General features: G+C 45.5%; 1 pseudogene across 1 annotated transcript; it reads left to right on the plus strand.

Moving 5' to 3' along the window:
* Positions 1–257: 257 nt before the first annotated feature.
* Positions 258–17,115, plus strand: BPIFA4P (BPI fold containing family A member 4, pseudogene; annotated as a pseudogene). The gene is made up of 9 exons (NR_026760.1): positions 258–294; positions 4,851–4,964; positions 5,968–6,115; positions 8,185–8,289; positions 9,165–9,314; positions 11,776–11,856; positions 12,474–12,537; positions 14,354–14,433; positions 16,692–17,115. The product of NR_026760.1 is annotated as a BPI fold containing family A member 4, pseudogene (transcript).
* Positions 17,116–21,073: the final 3,958 nt, after the last annotated feature.

The raw sequence follows: 21,073 nt of genomic DNA on the forward strand, positions 1-21,073 counted from the left end.
TGCTCTCCACACTCTCTGCACCTCTCCATTTGATGGCATTCATGATGTACAGATTCAAATATGTTGTTGACATTCCCCCGGGCCTTCCAAGCAGGAATGTTTGCTTTGGAGGTATTGGATAGACGTGGTAAAATCAAGGGCTTTCCATCAGCTTCCTAGCTGTCCATCACCCAGTGCCACGTCTCCCCCAGCAATGGGATCACTTGCCATTTATACAGTCTGCCCCCCTACAAAGTCATCGGGAATCAACCTACAGAGGCCAGAGTGTCTTGACAGCACACCAGAGAAATCCAGGTAAGCACAAGGCAATGGCACTCTCCAACCTGCCTCTTCATCAGATGCTGAACCAGACTAAAGCTTTTGATACATGTTACCAGTTATTACCAATTGTGTTTGGTTCTAGCACAGAACATGAAAAATCGTGGCTTCAATCATGATGAGAAGCCCAGAGTTAGGCTGGCAGAGCCTGCCATCTCCTTCCTTGGCTACCCCTAGGATGTGGCTTTCATCTTCCTGCTAGTAAGATAACTGCTGGGCTCCAGTCGTCATATCTTATATGTAATCAGGAAAAAGCAGGAGAGGAAAACAAAAGCATGCAATTTGCAGCTGGGTCAGCCACTCTAGAGAAGTTTTTAAGAAGCCCCGACCTACAATTTCCATTTATATCTCATTGATCATGCCTGGTTGCAAAGAAGGTTGGGAAAGATAATTTCTTTGTTAAGCACATTTCTTCCCTCAAAAATAAAAGGATTCTGTAAATAAAGAGGGAAGAATGGGCATGTGCCCTCGGCTCTCCAAGCTTCCGTTTCCTGCTCTGTAAAGGAAGCATGTCAATAACTGTCTCATAAGATTGGGATGTTGTAAGGAATTGGGGGACTCCTCCAACACCCAGCAGGAAAGATGCTCCCTGGCCACCCTCCCCTCCTTCAGACTGTCTGTGAGTCTTCCAAGGGTACTCACTGTCAGAACCAGGGAGGGATAAAAAGGAACTTTAATTGCAAATCCAAAATTAACTTCTATTTAGTGGCACTAGGCTAAACAATTTTCAAAATGCTTCCTGAATTCTCCTAGTAACCTTTTTGAGTGAGATGCAGATTAAAGTATAAAAAACTAAAAGACGGGAGAGCCAGGTGCTAGCCACTAACTACAGCTGGCCTTAGGAAAACTTAACCCTGATCCGAGCCTCAGTGTGCCATCTGTAAAATGGGTATTGGGCCAGGTGCGGTGGCTTATGCCTGTAATCCCAGCACTTTGGGAGGCGGAGGTGGGAGGATCACGAGGTCAGGAGTTTGAGATCAGCCTGGCCAATATGGTGAAACCTGTCTCTACTAAAAACACAAAAAGTAGCTGGGCATGATGGAGCACACCTGTAGTCCCAGCTACTCGGGAGGTTGAGGCAGGAGAATCGCTTGAACCCAGGAGGCAGAGGTTGCAGTGAACCGAGATCGTGCCACTGACTCCAGCCTGGGTGACAGAGCAAGACTCCATCTCAAAAAAAAAAAATGGGTGTTGGGTGGGTAAGAATGAGTCCAAATGACTCCTTTGCTTCCCCCCTATCTCCTTTAGCTCCATAGAGAACCTCTCAGAGTGACCCTGAAGCTGACTGTACTTACCTGGTATCCCACGGGTACTGCCCCAAGATGCTGAAGGTCTCGGGCCTCCTTATCCTCTGTTGGTTTCTTGCCCTGTTGTCTGCTCAATATTTGAATATTTGACTTGCCTGTGGGTTTATTATATCATATATTTTAATTTCTTGGCCTTTAGTCCCTTGGTCATTTTTTAAGCATGCATGCCTTGTAAATTTTTATTGGATGCTGAACATGGTGGTGAAATGACATTATCTTTTTTCCAGAAACGAAGATGGCAGAAAGATAGAGCAGAAATGGATCATGACCCTGCCTAGGCTTAGCTTTGTGTTTTATTAAGTAGAACTATTTTGGTCTTGTTCTTACTTTTAGAGGGAGACTATTTCTAGGGTGTGGCCCTTTCTCCTAGAGCACAGTGCTTTATGTCTTCACTGAGAGCTTAAGATGTGTACCAAGGTTCCTCCCATCAAAGGGGCCCCACCTCAAACTAGCGCTTCCTTCCCCAGCATCACACAGTGGATGTGCTGATGTCTCTGTTCAGCTTTTTAACTTTCACCTGCTATTTTCTGCCACATGGCTGAGAGTCCCACACTGCTAGGGTGCAGCTTAAAAAGCTGAGATTTCAAGGCTCCTTCCCTGGGGAACTTCCTCTTTGGGATTTTTGCCCCTCAAGTCCCAGCCACTCTGGTAGCCCCAAATTCCAACTTCTGTCCCCTCATCCCTGTAAGACTAGCTCTTTTTGCTTGGACCCTGGTTGACATGTTGGAAAATGACCTCAGGCAAAAGCTGGGTGAATATGGAGCCCGCCTTGAATGATGCCTCTTTCTCAAGAATCACGGGGTTTCAAATTGTGCCCATGTAGTTGCTCATGGATGTCCTCCTTTGTTTTTACAGATTTCCATCTCTTATAGTTGACTTTAATTGGGAGTGTTAGTCTGATGCAAGATACTCTGTCATGATCAAAACCAGAACTCTGCAGATGGAACTTGAACTTAGATTTCATAGGGACTGTGCAACCCCTCATTTGGGGTTCAGGGATAGGGTGAGAAGGATGAACACAGAGAATGCTTCGATACTTATAAAAACAGGCTGGGCGCGGTGGCTCACGCCTGTAATCCCAGTACTTTGGGAGGCTGACGCGGGCAGATTACCTGAGCTTAGGAGTTCACGACCAGCCTGGGCAACACGGTGAAACCCCGTCTCTACTAAAATTAAAAAAAAAAAATTAGTCGGGTGTGGTGGCTTGCGCAGAGGTTGCAGTGAGCTGAGATTGCGCCACTGCACTCCAGCCTTGGTGACAGAGCGAAACTCCATCTCAAAAACAAAACAAAACAAGACACCACACACACACACATAAACACACAAACAAACAAACACACAAAACAAACAAACAAATAAAACACACACACAAACAAACAAAAAGAACTTCAGGGTTGGTTATTCCTAGAAAATGCTTCGTGGGTTATAATGTGGCAGGTAAATGCAGAAAAACACCTAAGGATATTCCTGCCGGTGCCATCTGGGGTAAAAACATGAAAATAGCCCAAAAGAGGAGACATTCCATGAACATCAGTCAATACATACCTTAGAAAATTCTGCAGACAAGGAGGTAGACAGTCCTGATGTACTGCTACTTGAATAAATGCTTCTGTAGAAGCATGACAGGCCAATCCTTGTTTCTCATCATGTTACATGAATGCACGCCTATGGAAAGAAAAACTTCCAAAAAAAGATACAACAGAAGTTATCTCTGTGAACTGATTTTTATTTACTTTTTTCTCTTTGTGCATATCTTCACTTTCTAATTTTTCTACTTGCCTAAAAACAGATCACCCAAATTAAAATGTTAAGCCAGGCCAGTTGCGGTGGCTCACGCCTGTAATCCTAGCACTTTGGGAGGCCAAGTCGGATGGATCACCTGAGGTCAGGAGTTCGAAACCAGCCTGGCCAACATGGTGAAACCCCGTCTCTACCAAAAATATGAAAAAATTAGCTGAGCGTGGTGGTGGATGCCTGTGATCCCAGCTACTTGGGAGGCGAGGCAGGAGAATTGCTTGATACCAAGAGGCGGAGGTTGCAGTGAGCCGAGATCACACCACACCGCACTCCAGCCTGGGAAACAGAGTGAAACTCTGTCTCAAAATAAATAAATAAATAAATAAAATAAAATAAAATGCTAAACCAAATGGGTTATGAATTTACATGAGAATAGTGACCAGGGACTGGGCTGAGAGTCTGCTTGGAATCTGTCAAGTGTCGAAGGAGAGAATCGGTCCCTACCAGCCTTTACCTGTTAGTCTCAGGTCCTAATGGGACCATTTGCACTGGCATTTGGTTGAAGTCCCAGGAAGCCACACGAACATCTTCATGCACCTCCTTTCCAGGAGGTGTGGAGGGTGTGTCAAGATCCCGAGGGCCACTCCTAGCCCAGGGAGTGTGCCATTCAAGCGGGCACAGTAAATGGTCCTACAGTGTCCACATACTCCAGCCCTGGTCCCTCAGCCTGGGCCCTTCTTGTCTGTGCTGTGGAGCCTACTCTCTCCCATCAGCTCAGGGAGGTAAGCCCTTGAAAATGTCAAGTGAAAATCATGATCATAATGATGCATTAGTACAGTGGTGACCATTTGTGAAGCACTTACAATGTGCAAGGTACTGTGCTAAGTGCTTACGACAAGAGCAAGAGGAAGGTATGAGTTTGGATCCTCTGCATCTTCCAGATGAGGAAAGCCTAAGGTATCCAGCAAGTAGGTGGCAGAGCTGGGATTCCATCCCAGGTCTGTCTGTCTCTGAAGCCAGGGCATATCACCACCACCATTTTGCTGTAAAATGAGGATAGTGTGTCCTGCATAACATCGTGTGGTGAAGCAACTTGCACTAAATCCCACAATCCCACAGCTGCTAACAGGTGGGGGTCTTCAGAGACCATTGTCATAACTCTAACATTATGCAGCCTCTCGCAGCAGCCATGAGCAGCCCTGCTGGGGAAGGCAGTGTCCCTGCGGGAAAAACCGTATGTCCAGCTTTTGGGCATAAATACAGGTTGTGTGGCCTTGGGCAAGTGACTTCATCTCTTGGACCCTCCCTTTCTTGCTCTAAACTATGAGGAAAAGCAGGTCCCTCCCTGAGCCTCAGTAGACCCATCTGTAAAATGGACATAGGTGAATGGGTCCATATGAGTTCTGTGGCCACTTCAGATCTGAGCTCTGGGAAGACCCTCTGAGAAAGTGTCCTTGCAAATGACCTCTTTGCCCTGATCCTCCACAGGGACCTGACCGAAGATGCTGAATGTCTCCGGCCTCTTTGTTCTCCTCTGTGGGCTGCTTGTCTCATCCTCTGCACAGGAGGTCCTGGCTGGAGTTTCTTCCCAGCTCCTTAATGGTGAGACTGTCCTGCTTTGGGTCATGCAGAACCCTGAGCCAATGCCAGTTAAGTTCTCATTAGCAAAGTACCTGGGACACAATGAACACTATTAATTATTAGCCGTCCTGACTGCAACATCGTTTAATCCTCATTTTCCGAGCACCCCCTCTTTCCTGTCTCCTTGCTGTGCTTTATCTATCAAGACCCACCATCAAAGGAACCAGCTCTATATGGACTGGTCCCTGTCGCAGCCTTTGTACCTGCTGTTTCCTCTGCCTGGGACACTCTTCCCCTACCTGTCAACCTAGCTGCCTCCCTTCCTTCAGGTCTCTGCTCAAATGCCACATTTGCAGAAAGCCCTTCCTTGACCTCCTGCGTAAATGAATCCCTCACCCTGCCTTTTGTTTTTTCATCATAGGATGGACTGATATCTAGCGGCATGGTCATCGTGGTTAAAACATTGAAATTTTGGGGTATACTATTTGTGAAGTATTTCCTGCTTAGAGACTCTCCAGGTGCCCGCCATTGCCCCAACCATCCCAGCTTCACCCCCAGAACTCTAGCTTCCCCATGAACGAAACAACTATGGAGTTAACACCTGGCACAGCCCGGGGAGCCCAGGACCTGGATCCAGAGCTATGACCAGTGCCCCTGTTGAGCTCATTGCTAAATACTTTGAAACCAACCCCTTCACAGCACTTGTTTGCACCGGAATCCTGCCTGTCCCTTTATTCTCCACTTTTTCGTCTGTCTCTCCTCAGTCCTGTAAGAATGCCAGCTCCATCAGGGTGGTGCCCAGGGTGGTGAACAGACTGGGTGCATGGCCTGGGTGCATAGTAGGCCCCTGTGAATATTTGCTGGATGATTATGTCTAGAACTTGGCCCACAGTCCAGCAAGCCAGAAATAGCTGAACAACAAGTCAGAGCCACATAGGGGACATGCTCGGAGGTCAAGGTTGTATCTGAGGATCTTTGGCATCTAAATGTCTACTTGGGTTTGGGAGTGGGGCATTCTTTACAGATTTGACTCAAGGACTCCTCAGGGCAGACTTTCTTCCCAGCCTGCAGACAACTGGCCTCCAGAAACCATTGAGTAGTGCCTTCGATGGTGTATCAGGCCTCCTGGACATCTTTGGACCTCCACTCACCAATGAGATCAACACTGTTAGGTGAGTGGTCTCTGATCACCAACCACCCCCAGTCCAGGCTGTCCTGGTTTGTTGGATTGTTAGAGCTCTCCCCACATTTCCTGACCTCACAGAGGCCCTTCCCTTGCAAAGAGCCTTTCCAACTCTGATGGCCTGAGATCCCCTGGTTGGGAGAAACTCCCACCGCGGGAGGCTAGGGGAGAGGCTAAAGACACAGGGGTTCAGTCCCCTTGTCTGGGAAGAGGATGGCTGCTCACCAGCTGTAACAGCATCACCCATCTCCCCCTTTCTCTAAGCCTCAACATCTGCCCTGTTCAATGGGGAATAATAGCTTCTAACCCCATAGGGCTGTTGTGAACATTAAGTGAAATAATATGTGTAAAATGTTTGCACATCCTCCTCTCCTCAGTGAGCATCCAATCACAGGTAATAAACAACAACAGGAAGAATGTGGTAATCCTAACACTAGATGATGCTGAGCTTTAGGGTTAGACTGGCCATCAGAATATAGAAGACCTGGGTCCCTTGCCTCACAAGCATCTTAAACTCAACATGTCCAAAACTCAACTGCTGACTCATACCTTCATCCCTGCCACAACCTGTGCCTCCCCCTGCCCAGCCCATCTTACCTAATGACAACTCCATCCATCCAGTTGCTCTGGCCAAAAATCATGATGTCCTCCCTGGCTCCTCTGTCTCCTTTGTACCTGCTTCCAGCCTGTTGCCAAACCCTCCCTGTCACTTCTGCCTTTAAATCATACCCAGGCATCTCACCACTTTTTTTTTCCACCTCTGGTGGTCTGAGCCACCATTATCTCCCCGCTTGACTTACAGCCCCAGATTATTCTGCTTCCACCCACCAGCCCTCATCTCCTCCATTCTGTTCTGCCAGTATCCAGAAAAATCTTTCTAAGAAGTGGAGCTGACCCTGTAACTCCCTTGTCCAAACCCTCCGATGTGTTCTCTTCGCCCTCAGAACCAAGCCCAAAGTTCTTACCACTGGCCCTCAAGGCTCCACACAATCTGGCCCTGGCTACCTCGCTCACCTCTTCTACTAGTCTCGCATCACTCTCTGCCTGCTAGCCACATGAAGCCTGTTGCTGTTCCTCAAACACACCAGCCACATTTCAGCCTCAGGGATTTTGCACTTGCTCTGTCTTCTTTATTTTTACTATTATTATTGTTTTGAGATGGGGTCTTGCTCCATCTCCCGGGCTGGAGTTCAGTGAGTGGTGTGACCACAGCTCACTGCAGCCTCAACCTCCTGGGCTCAAGCCATCCTCCTGCCTCAGCCTCCCAAGTAGCTGGAACCACAGACACATGCCACCATGCCCAGCTAATTTTTTGTTTGGTTGCTTGATTTTTTGTTTTGCTTTGTTTTGTTTTCGAGACAAGGTCTTGCTCTGTCACCCAGGCTGGAGTGCAGTGGCACAATCACGGCTCACTGCAGCCTTGACTTCTAGGCTTAATTGATCCTCCTGCCTTGGCCTCCCAAAGTGCTGGGATTACAGGTGTGAGCCACTGCACCCAGCCTTGCTCTGTCTTAAACCTGTCCTTTCCTTCTCCTGGCTATCTGCATGACTCATTCTCACTTCATTCGTGACTCTGCCCAAACATCACCTCCTATGATAAACCTTCCCTGACTACCCTGTCTGAAATTCCACTCTTCCCAATATTACCTTCCATCTTCCTGATCCTGTAGGGCCTTTTTTTTCACGGTGCCTATCACTTTCTATATGTATTTATTTACTGGATTTATTCTCCTATACATATATACCTGCTCCAAGCATCTGCTATATATGGCTTTCAGTTTTATTCACTCGTTGATTTCAGCCTGCTTGGTGCTGGGCAAAGTGCTGAACGTGATTATTCTGAGATACAGCAAGGTAAGAGCTTCTTTTTGCTCAGGGATATATTCCCCGTGCTTATAACACATAGTAACTTTGCAATAAACTACCTGGTTAATGAATGAGTACTGATCTTTGCATATATTCAGCTTCTTCTCTGCAAGGGACCTGCCATTGCACAAAGTGAGGTCCACCTGCAGCAGGAGCCACAGCCTCCCTGTGTTGTGTTGTTTCTTCACCCAGCATACAGGTGAAAAATCCTCAACTCCTCCATGTCTCCATCGAGAGCACCCCTCAAAGAAAGGAGGCCACTGTACAAGTACCATTCACGTCTGAGTTGATTGTGCAGTAAGTCACAGCTATGGGTCTTGCAGTCTCCATTGGCTTTTGCATAGGAGTCGGGGGATGTGGGCAGATCCCTAACCAAAGGGCTCAGCGACGGACTCACTGTGTGGTTAGAGCAAAACATCCACCCTCTCTGGGCCTGAGTCGCCCCATGTGTAGAATGAGAGGCCTGCAGAACACTTGAGTGCTCCAAGCTTGGGGCCTCTCTGGGGAAAGCAGATTTCCTCGCCCGACCTCATCCAGACAGCCCCCACCTTCATTTATTTGGACTTTATGAGTTCTCTTAGTTCTGATTGAATGTAACTGAAGACAAGAGCAAAGAATCACCTCTGGACCCCAATTCCGTGGCACTATTGCCTAGAGATCACCCCAGGGGCTGCATCTGACCCACTGATATATTTTGTCTGGTTTGCATGGTGCATCTGCAGAGGCCACGCATTCTCCAGTTCACCACAGCCTTTACCGCTCCCTGTGAAACTAATTGCCCATCTGCTTCATTCATTTCCATTTCAAGCCTGGCCATCAAGGCAATGGAGTTTGAGACTCTAGAAAAGGACTTTCCAAGGTCAGATGCAGTTTCTCAGTTTTGATAAGATGTCATACTTAGAATCAACATTTTCCTTCCTAACTGTCCCCAGAGCCAGAGGTAGCAAGTATTAGTTAGACTCCCTGAGTGCAGAACCCTCTGACTTAGCCACTGGCTGGATGCATGACTTGGAGAAAGCCATTCCCATTCTCCAGGACTGAATGGCCTCTTTTGAAAAATGAGAAAATGACCTTAACAGGGTGGTTTTGAAGAACCCTAGTTCTAGAAACAAATGAGGATGTAGTAAGCTCTGAGCTTCTCCCCGACCTGCCTTACCTCTTCCCTCCTACAGGCTCCTGACCATGAAGCCCTTCACAGCTAATATGCAGTCAGATATAAAAGTCCAGATTCGTTTGGAGAAGAATGTAGGTGGCAGATATGAGCTTGCCTTTGGGAACTGCAGGCTCTTGCCCGAGGCTATTTGGATCCAAACTGGAGTCCAGTGAGTTCTCAATCTGTCTTTCTCTGTGTCCAGCTGGTTATGATGACGTCCCCAGTGAGATTTCACCTGAAAGATGTCACCAGAAAAACAATACCCTACCAAATTAGGCTTTTGTGTGTATAGTGATGTGTGTATAATAAATAGGACTTTCTGTGTCTTTAAAATTTTGCTTTTTACAAAAGTAATAATTCTATCGACATGAAAAGAGACTTACCAAATAGTACTAAGCAAAAAAAAAAAAAAAAAGAAGGATTGCTTGGCCATTTGTTGATAGATTATTTCTAAACTTTTGGGCTAACCAGGTGGCTCATCTGTAATCTCAGTACTTTGGGAGGTCGAGGCAGGTGGATAGCTTGAGCCCAGGAGTTCAAGACCAGCCTGGGCAACATGGCAAAACCCTGTCTATACAAAAAATACAAAAATTAGCCAGGTGTTGTGGCAGGCACCTATAGTCTCAGCTACTAGGGAGGCTGAGGTAGGAGGATCACTTGAGCCCAAGAGGTTGAGGCTGCGGTGAGCCATAAGCATGCCACTGCACTCCAGCCGGGGCAACAAGCAAGACCCTGTCTCAAAAAAATTAAATTAATTCAAAAGATAAACATTTGCTAACATAAATAACCCAGAACATTTTGATACAGGAAACTTTTCCAAAATAAAATTACGTTCTTATTGTAGATTTTTAAGATTATTCCAAACGTATACACAGTTCTACAACTTCTAAGTTTTAAGGCACTGCCAAACCACTCAACAAATGCCTTACCAATGGAACTGAAGCAAGTGGCATGTCTGTAGCCGACATTCGGCAGTTTTGTCCCATATACAATCAATCCCAATTATTCTCTTTTTCACAACATTTATTCTTTTATACATACATACCTTCCCCAAGTATCTCTATAGATGGCTCTCAGTCTTACTCATTCATTTATTTCAGCCTGCTTGGTGCTGGGAAAAGTGCTGAATATGATTATTCTGAGGTATGTTAAGACAAGATCTTCTTTTCACTAGGAGGAAAATCCCACGAATGCTATTGTTTTCATTACCTTGTCTACCAGTAGAAAAGAATTTCATCATTTCTTAGTCTCTGATATTTCCTCTTCAGAGAAACTGTCTTCAGAGGTTTTGCCCTTTTATTAATTAGAGTTTTAGTGTTTACTTCTAAATTTATAATTTCTTTTTAAAAATCTTCTTTGTAAATATTTTTTTTGAAACGAGATTTCACTCAGTTGCCCAAGCTGAAGTGCAATGGTCGTGCAATCTCGGCTCACTGCAAGCTCCACCTCCCCAACTCAGGCAATGCTCCCATCTAGGCCTCCTGAATACCTGAGATTACAAGCACAGGCCACCATGCCTGGCTAATTTTTGTGTTTTTTGTAGAGACAGAGTTTCACCATGTCTCCCAGGCTGGTCTCAAACTCCTGCACCCAACTGATCTACCTGCCTCAGTCTCTTAAAGTGCTGGGATTACAGGCATGAGCCACCACACCTAGCCCTTTTAAAAAATTTTTTTTTAATTAAGGCTGATATCCACATTTAGCTGAATCCAGTGGTCATCACCAGTCCATTTTCTATCCTGTCTTCTTCTTATTTTGATTCATCTCAGTTGCTCACTCTTTCAGGAAAGATCTGGGTGTGGAATGCTTTCTGCACCCTTGCACACCTGGTCCTGTCCTCCTGACATGCTCAAACATAAGTGAGAACCAGACCAGATTCACAGCCCATCTCCCCTTCTGAAAACTCTGCAAATACCTCTCTCTCCCATGATATACTAAAGAAAATGTCCCTCTTTTGCAAGGAATTTGAGACCTCAGGTTGGAAGCAGTAGATCGTAGCTGATTTCTATGCAAACTCTTTAAGAAATAAAGACATAAACCCTTTGCCTGAGAATAAAACAGATTTACCCTCACATGTTAAGGATTAGGGACTGAGTCAGGAACACAGAACACAAGGACACCTTTATGCTATTTCCTGCTTCTTTCTCCTTTCTCCCAATTAAAGAACGATGTTACACTGTTCCTTCCATGAAAGCATTGGCCCTCTGGCAGAGGAGATAAGTTCTACTGTAGCATCAGGTAATCAGAGAAATGGGAAAGTGAGAAGGAAGGAGAGAACTGAGAATTGGCTAGGATGGTCAAGAAGAGCTTTCTGGAGGAAACCAGTTGGCCGGGCCTAGCAAAGTGATAGAATTTGAAGAAGGCATCTCCAGAGGGAGATGCAAAATAGTCACAGAAAACATAATGGTGAGTAACAATGATAAGGGCAAGGTGATTTAAATTGGAAGATTAATTTTAAAGAACCCTAGAGTGTGGATTGGAGCGGTAGGACACAGCTGGGTGATGGAATGCCATGGAAACAAGGAGTAGACTTGAAGAAGTTCACGGGCATTGAGCAAAGAAGTGATAGGGATAAAGGAGAGTCTGAGAGAAGTTAATCTGTTCTGCATATTTTCTGCCTCTTCATTTAGACTCGCCCCAGCGCAAAATTTGTTGTGGCAAACATAGAGAGAAACCTGAAAAACATAGTAGCCCATGATCTGGGACGAAAAGTAAGTATGCAAACCCAGATTACTTCCATTTTTGAGCTGAGACTCAAAGCATGGGGGAGTTTGGATCTTCTTAATGAAGTGGGAAGAAATCTTCCAGGAAGGAAAGTTAGAGAGAGATGGAGTGGCATCTGTTAAGTTTCCATTCTGCAATCAGGCACTGGTGAAGTATTTTACAGACATTATTTAATTATTTAGGTCAAAGTCAGCATCCATATGACCAGAAGTAAGTAGATAAATCTCCCCAAAACTCAGTTTCCTTATCTGTAAGATGGAGATAAGTAATCACAAAATTAACATTCACTAAGCACGCAAACACTGTGCTAAGTATCTGAAATGAATTTTCTTATCTCATCCTCCAAACAATCTCATACTCCAGGTAACAATATCATCTTCATTTTCCAGATTTAAGTTCCAGAGAAGGCCAATGACTTACTCAAGTCATAGAGCTACCAAGTGGCCGAGCTGGCTTATGACCCTAGGGCAGTCTGCCCCCAAAACCCATCTACTTGGTTGTCCCCAGAATGGGTTGGCTTGGGAGAACTTGCCTTGCTCACTCCCATTTAGACTTTATTAGTGGAGCCCTCCTCTTGACTTTTGCCTATTTCCTTGTCTTTCAGGTGTGCCCTGTGATTAATAAATGGCTCTACAACCTGGACCAGCATGTGGTTAAAGAGTTGATTAGTAAGTGCTGGAGGTGGGAAGGGACAGGAACACTCCAGAAGAAAGCTCAGAACCCTCCCTCACCCTTTGTATTTCATTTCCCCTTACCTCACTCTGGCACTTCTCCTAGACCAAAAATCTCTTTCCTGCTGAAGTAGAATGGTCCCTAATAATAACAACCTTAATAATAAACTCAGCTGACATTAACTGAGGGAGCCCAGTGTGCCAACATGAAGCACTGTGCCTGCACTAGCAATTGAACGTGCACCTTTAGCTAAGGACGTGCTGGTTTCAATTCTATTCTTGCTCCCAAAGCCTAGAGCAGCTGAGATATGAATGGAAACTTCTCCAGGGGAGAAAATCTGCCCAATTCTGCCTTTGTCCTCCCCTAAATTTGTATGAGTTAAATGATGGGCAGAAAATTGGTCTGTTTTCAGCCCAGACAAACACTGCCTCCTTTCAGTAGTCGCTACCTCAAGCATCCAAAGTTTTCATATCTGCCAGAACTCAAAGCAAAAAATGCAAGATTGAATCTCAGCAGCTCAGGCCCCCAGCAGGACTTCAAACTTCCACCACCAAAAAAAAAAAAAAAAAAAATGCTGAATTGAAAGGTATATGCCTTCATTCACTGAATATTCACTCGTCCTGCCAAGTGCCAGATGCCAGAGTTTCTAAAATTCCTCGAGTGGCTCTCCCAGCAAGCAATTTTCTGACTTCTGCCTATTCCATTGACTGGGAAGTCACTACTTTTTTTTTTTTTTTTTTTTGAGATGGAATCTCACTCTATTGCCCAGACTGGAGTGCAGTGGTGCGATCTCGGCTCCCTGCAACCTCTGCCTCCAGAGTTCAAGCGATTCTCCTGCCTCAGCCTCCCAAGTAGCTGGGATTACAGGCAGGCATCACCATCCCTGGCTAATTTTTGTATTTTTAGTAGAGATGGGGTTTCATTGTGTTAGCCAGGCTGGTCTTGAACTCCTAACTTCAAGTGATCCACCCGCCTCAGCCTCCTAAAGTGCTGGGATTACAGGTGTGAACCACCACCAGTGAGCCCGGCCAGTACTCACTACTTATGAGGTAGGAAGCTTGAGGCAACTAATCTGGATGAGCCTAAAAACTCCCAAAGCTTGTGTTCCCGGGCCCACTCAAATGAATGGGACAGCTCAACCAACACCTTCGCTCTACTATGGGCCATCACTTCAGAGAGATGGCCAGGTGAATGGAGACTCCGGCTGCAGCAATGGCACCTTTCTCCACTGTCTCATTCCAATGTAGGAGCTCTTAAGTGATTAGCTTGGGAAGAAGTGGTTGTTCCCAATCTGTAGATAAGGAAACCAAGATCCAAGAACTTTAAGCAATTTATCCAGGATTACTTAGTAAAAAATAATAACAATAAAAGCTAAATGCATATTAAGTGCTTTACTATGTGCCAGGCTCTTTGCAGACTTTATATATGTTAATTTGATCTGTCCATACAACTCCGTGAACTAGGTATTATCACTATCTTCATTTTAAAGATGAGGAAACAGAAACAAAGGAAGATCAAAATGTTTGCCCATATTTCCATGGAAGAAAATGTCAGAGCCAGAGTGAACCCGCATCCTCCAGCTACAGAGCCCACACTGGTAGTCACTGTACTGCATGGATAAAGAACTGTCAGTTAAATCATACAAGACAGCCAGTGACAAATAAGAGCTTCCAGCCTCAGCCTTCTGTCTCCACACCTTGGGCTCATTTCTCATCCCCATTCTGCTCCCAGTGCTGCTCCAAGGGGGAAACTTCCCTGGCCTCTCTGATCCTCCACCACCCCCACAGTCTGAGTATCTCTTTTGCATTCTAGATCTGGTCCTGCTGCAGGAAAAGTACCAAGTCACCATCTAAATGTCCCCAAAGTGAAGAAGCTATGTGTGTATCAATCCGGTGAGAAACCAGAGCATGTTTCCATTGCTTAGTGATGACCTTTGGCCTTTAGGGTCATTATAAGTGTGTTATTCATTCATTTGTTAAATTTTAGTTAAGCCCCTACTATATGCTAGACTCTATTCCACATGTTAGGAATACAGCAGTGAACAAGATGGACAAGGAATCTGATTTCCTGGAGCTTGTATTCTAGTTGGGAATACTAACAGTGAATAAGGAAATAAATATATAGTCAACTAAATTCCAGAGGATGGTGGGTATTCAGAAGAAAACAAAGTAGGAGGATGTGGGCAAAAGTAACTGGGGTGGGGGCAGAGAGAGAGACATCAAATTAATACAGTCAGACAGAGGCTCTTTGGGGAACAAAGGGACAATTCAGCTGAGCCCTGAATGATAAGGCAGAAGGAGTTGTGCCAAGACCCAGGAGAAAAGTATCACAAGCAAGAGGATGAACATGTGCAAAGTCCCTGAGGCAGAAATGAATGAACTTGCCTTTTTGAAGTAAAGAAAGGAGGCCGTCGTGGGCTGGAGTGTGTAGGGAGCTCAGTTGTAGGAGACATCTTTACAAGAGTGATATTTGGCAGAGAAAAGGAAGGGAGTTTCTATAAAAGGAGATATCATTATTCATTCATTTATCATGTATGTATTTGCAACTCTTCAGTGCTGAATACACTCTGCTCAGGTGTCACCATCTCAAGTCTCTCAAAAATGGCACATCCACCACTCTCTTCCCTGCTTTACTTTTCTTCATACCACTCATTATTATTTGACTTCCTACTATATTATATGTATCTTTTCTCTCCACCTCTTAAAAGAATGTAGACCTCATGAAGTCAGGGACTTTATCTATTCCCTGTTTTATCCCAAGTTCCAGGATTACAAAAATGAATCACACTTGGCCCCTGACCTCAAGAGCTCCCAGCCTAGCGAGAGATAAAACAAATAAATCGGCAATTTCATGTGCATTGAGGTGCTCAGTTAAGGTTCTATGGAAGTAGAGAGGCAAGACCCAGTAGCCAGGGGACTTCCAGGAGACTTTGCAGAAAAGGCAAGATTTAAACTGGGTATTGAAAAATGATAAAGACTCACTTTGTGGGAAAAGACATTATAAGCAGAGGATACAGCATGTGCAAGTACACAGAAGCAGGAAAGGGTCTGATGCTTTGGGCAATGGGGAGAAGCTCTGGGCAATGGGGAGAAGCTCTGGGTGACTGCCCATAGGAGTCATGGGGGACAGAGGTATCCTCCCCTGAGGAGTAAGGATAAGCATGTAATAAGCTATGCTGTACACATGCTTTGTGAGAACAAGGTCACATGTGATGAATTGGGCTGTAAGAAGGTACAGTCCATGACAGGGGACATAAAAAATTAAGTGCCCAACACCATAATGGAATCCACATCCTTGAGTTAATTAGCTTAGTTACGTAATACTCTAAACCAATGTTATCCAATAGAAATATAACAGGAGACACACAAGTAATTTTGAATTTTCTGGCAAGGCCATCTTTAAAAGGAAAAAGAAACAGATTATATTAACCTTACTAGTTTATATTTACCCACCATATCCAAAATATTATCATTTTAACATGGAATCAATATAAAAGTAATAAAATATTTTACATTCTATTTTTGCAGTAAGTCTTTGGTCTGATGTGTATTTTATACTTACAGCACATTTCAATGTGGACTAGCTGCATTTCAAATGCTGATATCCATGTGTGACTAGTGGCTACCATATTGGACAACGCAGCTCTCTCTAAGTAAATTGGCTGGCAGTTGCAAAACGTTGAAAGGTCTAGGGCATCTCATGTATTCCTGCCAATATATCTAGGCTGCCACTTAGCACAGAAGTCCCAAATCTGTGACACCCCCCCCCCCATATTATATTCAGCTCACAGACATGTTTGGTTTAGCCTATAAAGTGTTTTATACATGTGACTGAGTTGCCAATATTAAAAGTAAGAAATATGTCTTTTGATTAGCTAGGGCACCTGGTGATATTTTGTATTATTGTGTTGTGAAGTAGGCCAAGGCGACGAGGAAGAGCCACCTTAATTGATGAGAGGAAGTCCAGGGAAACAATGAGAAAACGTTATCCAGAGAGAGGCAGTGGATGGGTGTCCCGACAGGAATAGATTTCAGCACCACGGACAGCAGTCACGCCAGTGCGGAGGGGGAGGGCAGAAGCGGGAAAGGCTGTCCGTTCTGACCGGAAGAAAGGGTGTGAAATTTACTAATACCTGGATTATCTCACACAGAATCAGCTTCTGCATCCTAGTCTCCTCCCTGGAATGTCCTCCACACTCCAGGACACCACCTGCGTAGATCGTGTTGATTATTCAGCTGATGCCTGGAATTGCATGACCCACCCTGGACCAAAAGAGCCCCTGCTTCTCCGGGTATGGAGGTTATTTCCCTGTAAATCCTCACCAGAACCCATGTGCTGATTCCCTGTAATCTTCCCACAATAAATTTTTAGCAGCTCTGAACTGCAAACTGTCCAGCTTCCACAGCGCCATGTGGATGGGGGCAACGTGGCCAGAGATGATGGTGGGTCTGGTCATGATAACAAAAGTATGAAAAGCAGGGGAGGATACTTGGGTTGATTTATCCATTATCTCATAAACATCTGAACACTCTGGTATGATGTTTCCCAAAGGCTAATTAAAATTTTAAAAAGGTTTCCTGTCTTGTCTGGGATGTTTTCTGAACTGATTTTTTGACCTTGAGTGGCTCCATCCTCTTGGCCACAGTCTCATCACTGTGCAGTGGGAATGTTGGTCTCATCTTCCCAGCGCCCTCAGGCAGGAACAGCCTACAAAGTTGTGACTTATGGGAGAAACCTTATCCTGGCCCTGGTAACTCCATTTTTCTTCCCTGTATCACCAAACTTCCCAAAACATATGCTGCTATTCACTGCCTCTCCTTCCTCACCTTCAACCTCTGGTCATTTTTTAAGATGGAGTTTTGCTCTGTCATCCAGGCTGGAGTGCAGTGGTGTGATCTCGGCTCACTGCAACCTCCGCCTTCCGGGTTCAAGAAATTCTCCTGCCTCAGCCTCCTGAGTAGCTCAGACTACAGGCGTGTGCCACCATGCCCAGCAAATCTTTGTATTTTTAGTAGAGATGGGATTTCACCATGTTGGCCAGGCTGGTCTTAAATTCCTGGACTCAAGTGATCCACCTGCCTCAGCCTCCCAAAATGCTGGGATTACAGATGTGAGCCACTGCAACCGGCCATCATTTTTTTTTTCTTTTCTTTTTCTTTCTTTTTTTTTTTTTTTTTTTTTACAATATGGCTTCCTTCTCCAAAGTATTATTCTAATTTAATTCTCATGATAAACCTAGGAAGTAACTGTTGTTTTCCCTTGAATAAGTGAGAAAACTGAGGCTCAAAGAGGTGCAGTGATGTGTGCAAGCTGCACCTCTAAGAATGAGAGAGTCAGGACTCAAACTTACGTCTGCCTTAGAATGAAAGTCTGGGTCCTCACTGGGCCTGTGGGCACACTGTTTGTGTCCATATGCATGTTCCTGACCCCGTCCCCACCACTCTCCCCTTGTCTCACTTGCTCTGGTCACACTGGCTTTCTTGTGCTGCCTCCTCAGCTTGTTCCAACCTCAGGGCTGAACACTGGGCTGGATTTTTATCTGTCCTGTTCACTGCTTGGCACATGGAGGGGCTTAGTGAAACCTGCCAACTCCCTGATAAAGGCTCCCTCCTGGGAGCTGCCACACACTGCACAATAGCATGGAGAATGTCACCCTCAGAGTCACACAATCCCTCTCCCAAAGACAGCTCCCCAATTCCCAGAGGATCCGGGTGAAGAAATTTAGTGCTGCAGCTATCTCCAGCAACCACGAGAATTTAGGATCAGGTAAAGCAAAATGAGCAAATATGGGGTGACATGTGTTGGAGAAAATTACTAAAAGGGGGATTGGGATCCAAAAGCAGAAAATGGAAGAAGAGAGAAAGCAAGTTTGGTCCCTTTGAGAAACGCAGCAGGAAGCAGAAGAGAAGCCAAGTTGGCTGAAGAATAAAATTAATGATCAAACAGGTTGAATGTGCATTTTTAAAAGAAGGACCCATGCCGGTTTCCTCTTCCTACTGGCTGACATTTAAGGGCAGGTGAGGCTGTGCCTGGCTGGTTATCCTTAATGACCTGCCTTGCTCCTTTCCTCCTGAGAACACTCCTGCTATGTAAGCCCCGGGACTTGACAGGTTGGTTCCTGCCCCCTTGTGGTCCAGAGTGTTCATGGTTATGGTGAGACCTGCAGTCTTCAGTCTATCTGGTGGTTCAACTCACTGAAAATGTTGGTATTTGCCATGTGTGTTCCACGGAATCTTATTGGCCTCTGTAGTATATAAGAGGAAATGCAGCCGGACAGAACAAGCTTGCAGACCCCTGCGAGGGAAGGTTAAGGGCTGTAAGTGAATTTATCCAGAAACAAGGTAGAGCCTATCAGAGCCAGGCAGCCCAAGTTCAAATCCTAGCTCCACATTATCAGCTGTGTGTCCTTAGACAAGTGTCTCCAGAGTCAGGGCTCAACATCCATCTGCCCTTATTATTCTTCCTGCCTCTCCTTGCAATGCTTGTGCCTGGGGGAATGGGGGCTGAGGATCATGTTGGGCAGCAGAATGGGGTGTGGGATGAAGCAGTTGGTGGGGAATGAGCAACAGCTCCTCTGAGCTCCCTTCTGCAGGCCAGGCTACCTGGTTCCCATCTGAGCCCCACCCCTCCCCAGCTGGGTGGATTTGGGGATTTTACTTAACATTTCTGTGCCTCTGCAAAAGGAGGCCAATAATAACAGTGCCTACTGCAAAGGGTTGTGTTGAGAATTCAATAAGTCATTACAGGTAAAGCACTTAGCTTGCCCCTGGAGCTCAGTCAGCACTCAATAACTGTTAGCTGGTATCACTGTTATTATTTCAGCTAAGTGATCTTCACACACCGTGTGCATCAGAATTGTCCAGAAGCTTATTCCCAGGATCCCCCTCAGAGAGCCTGACTCAATTCATCAGAGGTGACCTAAGAATCTGCATTTTTACAAGTCCCATCTCTCCCTCCAAAATTCGGTGATGCTCCCCTGGAAATTCCAGCATTTCCATTTTCCCTTTGCCCTCTCCAGGCTACCCTCAGAACCCAGAAAAGGTCAACTCTTCCTTTGTGAAACCCAATATGCCATTCAGAAACGGTCCCCACTCTCTCTTCCCCTGCCATTTTAAGGAAATTCGCCTTTGGATTAAGGTTCCAGCCCCTAGTTCTGTACAGTTGTTAGGCATATGTATGTTAAACACATATATATGTGTGTGTGTGTGTGTGTATATATATATACATATACATATATATGTGTGTGTATATATATATATCTTTTATATATATATAAAAGAATGGAATGAATGAATGACTAGATGAATAATGAATTCCATTCCTTAGAAGAGTAACTCTCAAAGTATGGACTGAACCCCCTGCATCATCTCTCTAGGGTGTTCATTCCAAAGGCAGCTCCCAGCACCTCCCCCCAGCCCCCACTAAATCAGATTCAGGAATCTGCATTTAATGCTTCTGCCTCCTCTGCTGTTCCCTGGAGTTTGGGGACCTCTGCCTTTTGCTAGGGACCTGGAATTTCCTTAGAGCCCCAAGGAGGGGAAGTGGCCACCCCAATTGGCCGTTAGAGATCACAGGTGTGCATAAGCCTGCTTGGCCCGGAGTTCTGCCAAGGGAGGTTCCTGCCTCCTTGTCCCACTGGACAGCTCTTCCTGCAGCCAGGGATGTGAGACAGGCCCTCTCCCTGGGCACATGGGTACAGACTTCTCACCCCATAGACAGCCACTACTGTCTTCCTTTCTTCCTCCAACCTGCCGAGCTCTTTCCCACCTGAGGGCCTTTGCCCTCATGGTTCCCTCTGCCTGGCTCCCCTTCCACATTTTTATACTCAAGCCTGGCTCCATCTCCTCCTCTCCTCCTGGGCTCTGCTCAAATGTCGCCTGAGACCTTCCCTAATCCTGGTCTAATGTGGCCTCCTTGCTATTTCCAATCTTACAGTAAGCTTTTTCCCCTTAATACAATTTATGGTTATTTGGTTTCTTGTTTATTTCACCTTGTTCTGATTCCCTCACCAGATGATAAGCTGCTGGGGAATAGGGTGACTGTTATTCCCTAGAGTCAAGCACAGTGCCTGGCACACAGTTGGCCCACAGTAAATAATGGTTGGGTGGATGGATAAATGAATTTTTTTCAAAGTCAAACTCCTTGAAAGCCAGTTTCCCAGGAGAGCAAGGGTTTTACCATTGAACCCATGGGCATGCCTTAAGAGGTCCATGGCAATCCTGGTACTGTGTGCAACATTGTTTGGCTTGGTGAGTTTTTTTTTTCCTAAAAGACAAACCAAAGCTTCCAGTGCATTTTCAAAATGTCCCCCAAGAAGGTAAAGAAGCTTGTTTTAAGGAAAGCTATTTGGAATAGTGAAGGAGGCTGCTAATGTGTGAGGCTCAGTGGTGTTCCACAGCGCCAGTGTCCAAGGAAAACAGTGTCTGAGGCAGTTCTGGGGAAGGCAAGACAGCCCACTGGGATGCCAGCTCAGCCTCTTCCTGGCTGGGAGCTTAGGCAGCCGCTGGGTTTCTCTGGGTCCCTGTCTCCTCA

The sequence above is a fragment of the Homo sapiens genome, chromosome 20, assembly GCF_000001405.40.
Source record: "Homo sapiens chromosome 20, GRCh38.p14 Primary Assembly".
Lineage (NCBI taxonomy): Eukaryota > Metazoa > Chordata > Mammalia > Primates > Hominidae > Homo > Homo sapiens.